General features: G+C 56.1%; 1 protein-coding gene across 2 annotated transcripts, besides 1 other annotated feature; it reads right to left on the bottom strand.

Moving 5' to 3' along the window:
• Positions 1-406: 406 nt before the first annotated feature.
• On the bottom strand, positions 407-3,418 carry IQCC (IQ motif containing C). 2 transcript variants are annotated; one of them, NM_001160042.2, is made up of 5 exons: positions 3,126-3,418; positions 2,792-2,935; positions 2,328-2,580; positions 1,969-2,087; positions 407-1,849 (listed from the first exon to the last, which is right to left on the bottom strand). In NM_001160042.2, the coding sequence occupies exons 1-5, from the start codon at positions 3,405-3,407 to the stop codon at positions 1,007-1,009; spliced, it is 1,641 nt and encodes a 546-aa protein (NP_001153514.1). In that variant the 5' UTR covers positions 3,408-3,418; the 3' UTR covers positions 407-1,006. The 2 variants fall into 2 exon arrangements, with proteins under 2 accessions (NP_001153514.1, NP_060604.2); NM_018134.3 differs by having other exon boundaries at positions 3,366-3,418.
• Positions 3,261-3,480: an enhancer, noted in NCBI's record as "active region_675". NCBI's record gives its function as "activates an Ori minimal core promoter by ATAC-STARR-seq in GM12878 lymphoblastoid cells {active_cell/tissue: GM12878}" and the evidence as "EXISTENCE:reporter gene assay evidence [ECO:0000049][PMID:35858748]".

Below are 3,615 nucleotides of genomic sequence, written 5' to 3'. Positions count from 1 at the left end.
ATCCTCAGTCAGAGAAACAGACCTGTTGCCAGGCAACCAAGGAAGGGCTGGGAACATTGCCAATCAGAGGTGGAGTCCTGCCCTCTCACCCAGGAAGGCAGAGGGAGACTGTGGCAGGAGCATTTATCTGCATTCAGGGTTTTATCCCATCTGCCCTGGGGAGATCACACTTAAACATAGGTGTTACCCTACTCTCCAGAGCCTCCTTGCCACTCTAAAGCACAAGGCTGAGCTCAATTGGGGATCAGCTTTGGGAGCTGTTCCCTAAGGAGGATGGCTAGATCTTTTCCTGGGCCATGGCTCCCAGCTGGCTCCGGGGTCAATGCCCCATGCCAGTAGGAAGTGAACGGCAGGGCCCAGAATCTGTCCTGGCCAGAAGCAGAAATGAAAGCAGCCAGACTCAGAATCTAAGAAAAACCTTTATTCCCAACAGACCTCTCATTCTACTTCCCCCAGGTAACTCCTTAGCCACACATTTGTTTTTTGAGACCGTGTCTCGCTCTGTAGCCCAGGCTGGAGTGCAGTGGCATCATCTTGGCCTACTGCAATCTCCATCTCCTGGGTTCAAGCGATTCTCCTGTCTCAGCCTCCCGAGTAACTGGGACTACAGGCATGCACCACCACGCCTGGCTAATTTTTATATTTTTAGTTGAGATGGGGTTTCATTTCACCATGTTGGTCAGGCTGGTCTCAAACTTCTGACCTCAGGTGATCCACTCACCTTGGCCTCCCAAAGTGCTGGGATTACAGGTGTGAGCCACTGCACCCGGCCCCTTATCCACAAATTTGGATTGAGCTACAGGCAGAGGATTGAAAATGTGTCCTTCCTCCTTCCCTATACTCATGCCAGCTCTCTGCTCCAGCTTCTCTTGGCCCCACTAGTCACCAATGGCCAGGGGCAGGAGCAGAAGCCAGAGCTGGTCAGGGAGGTAGGATGAGGTCTTGTCTCACTGCCCTTTCATAGCATTCCCCTTTGGAACCTGATCCTCTCCTGGCTTCCTAGGGTCTAGCCAGGTGGTTCTGTTTTCCATGGCCTGCCCCTCCACTGTTCCTCTCCTGTACAGCCTGCCTTTGTAGAAGACAGAATCTCAGGTGACTTTGATCTCCATGGTATAGTCCTCTGCTTTTTCTGTCCTTCATGACTAGGCTCATTGGAGGTTCCATCTCTGGAGCTTCTATCAGTGGGGGCCTGGCCTTTGGGTGGTTTAGTCCTCCAGAGATCGAGGACACTATGCTCTGGCCCCCCCAAGGTACCATCCCAGATGATGTGGTCCTCTGAGAGGCCCAACTCTTGTGTCCTGACTGTTCGGCAGTCAGGCTCTTTGTGGTCTAGTTTTCTGGGAGACATCTCCTTAATATTTGAGTCCTCATAGAGTGCAGACAGCTGTGTCCTGGACTTCCTGGGACAATGGTTCCTAGGTTTTAAACCTCTGGGGGTCTGGTCCTCCAGGATTTTCATCTGCAGCAGGCAGGTCCCTCCAAAGGTCTGTCTTCCATCGTCTGGCCCTTTGGTGAGCCTGTCCCCCAAGGCCTGGCTGTTTGATGGTATAGACGACGGTGGTCCAGACTTGCTGTAGCATGGTTCTCTGCACTTAGCCCCAGCAATGTTTTTTTGTGTAGTGGCCAAACTTCCTGGGGATCTGTGGGGTGATTTGACCCTGTGACAGGAGTCATCCTCCTGTTCTAGCTCTCCAGTGGTCCTGTCTCTGTAGGACTGGTCCTCCAGTGGTGCGCTTGGTTGTGACTGGTCCCTCTCACAGGCCTGTTCCCCATGTTCTAGGAACACGCGGGGTTCCTCTCTGATCGGGCCCGCCTCTGGGGATCTCAGTGTTTGTTTAAGAAGTAGGTACTGTTGGGGGAGAGAACATACATTGTACCAAGCAGGCCTGCTTGGGCATGGCAGGTCGTCTCTCCCTAACCCCCACCCTTGACCCTAAATGTTCAGAAAGAGTTCCAGGTTAGTGTTACCTCCTTACGGCTATTGATGGCCTGTTGCAGCCACAGCAATTCCATGGCCAAGTGGCTGCGGTGGTACTGAAGCTCTTGAAGCTGAGGTTGGCTGTGGGGCAGTCTTTGATCTGTGGCTTCTGTGAAGGAGGGAAGAAAGGAAGGAGAAAACCTTGAGGGACCAGACCCTGGGAAATGGCCTAGCCTTAGACTTTGGAAACTCCCTCCCCTGCACTGCCCAACCATGTGGTGGCCCTATCCCGGCAGAGGGAAGACGGGAAAGGGATGCAGCTTATCTAGCGCAAGCCTTTCACTCTTCAGATGGGAGGCTGAGGCACAGTGAGGGTCAGGGGCTTGCCCTGATCTTTGCAGAGAGGTACCTGGATTCTCCATCCTTGTCGTGTCTCTGGTCTTCTCTTGGCTGGGTTTCCTGTTCTGCTTCATCTGAAGCCAGGAGCTGTGATCTCTGCAGAGGCTTCCTTGATTTGCTGAGCTCTCTCCTGACTTCTTCAGCACCATCTCCTCCCAGGTGGCCTCTCCCTCAGACTCTTCACATGGGAAGTGGTTCCACAGCCCCTGCTCTGGATTTGCTACCCTGTCTCCTGCTTTCCAGGTCTGATGGGATTTTGCCTTCTGAGAAACAAGAGAGATGTGAGAGCCCCAGGGCTAAACCCTTCCAAGTATCTGGGCACCATGATCTAGCAGACAAGTTGGTGAGGGTTAAGGAGTGGGGTGTGAGGAGGTGAGTCTACTGCCTCTTCCAGTGAGAAAAGCTTATCACTGGGAAGGGTGGGTTCCACCCTGCCCAAGTCCCTCCTTCCCTTCTCTCCTAGGTGTGTTCTACCTCTGGGAGGAATCGCGGCCTGGGAATGCGGCCCTCGGTCCACTGAAGCGTGCCCAGGTCGCCCTCGACCTCTCGTACAATCGCCTCATACTCAGCTCGCAGGCTCTGGAACTGGCGTCGGACCAAGAAGCCCCGGACGCAGGCCTGGTATGGAGAACGAGAGGAAAGAAGTCCCTTATCACGGTAAGAGAGGGGGCATCTCGGAGGACTGTCCTGAAGAGGTCGTCCCGGCGAATGCAAGAGGGGACCTGACGGCGGGGAAAGGATAGGTGGGCTGTGCGCTAGGGCTCCGGGGGGCTCGAGGGACGATGCCAGACTGGATGCCCCTCCTCGCCTTAAGGCTCTTCCCGTTTCCCTGATCCGGCGCGAGCGTGTGGTGGGAGTGGGGACGCGCAGGGCAGGGAGTCCGTGGGTCCCAGCTTTCCTCAGCGCGGTTGGGGACAGCCGGTATCTCCAGAGGTTGGCGCGCAGTTAGGGGACTGAACGTGGTAGCATCTCGCTGGGAGGTCCAGGTACGAGACCCCATGATTTCCCTAAAGGAAAAATCCTGTGAACCCCGCGCCCGCCCCCGCACCTGCAATGCAGACACCTTCCGAACCAGCAGCTCTGGCTCCATGGGCGCCAACTGCCAGGCCCGCCCGCGCGCCTGCGAAGTACGTCATTGGTCGGCGTCGCTCCTGAGCATGCGCGGGCGTGGGCTTTGCCCCAGCCGTTCCCACGGCAACCTCCTACCGTCCAGGGTAGAGGCGTCCTGGCGACAGGCGTACCTGCGTCCCCCCAGCCCCCGACTGCCCCTCCCACAGCCGCAAGGGGCACTCCAATCC

The sequence above is a fragment of the Homo sapiens genome, chromosome 1 (genome assembly GCF_000001405.40).
Source record: "Homo sapiens chromosome 1, GRCh38.p14 Primary Assembly".
In the NCBI taxonomy this organism is placed as follows: Eukaryota; Metazoa; Chordata; class Mammalia; order Primates; family Hominidae; genus Homo; species Homo sapiens.
This window is presented reverse-complemented; position numbering and strand designations above follow the sequence as displayed.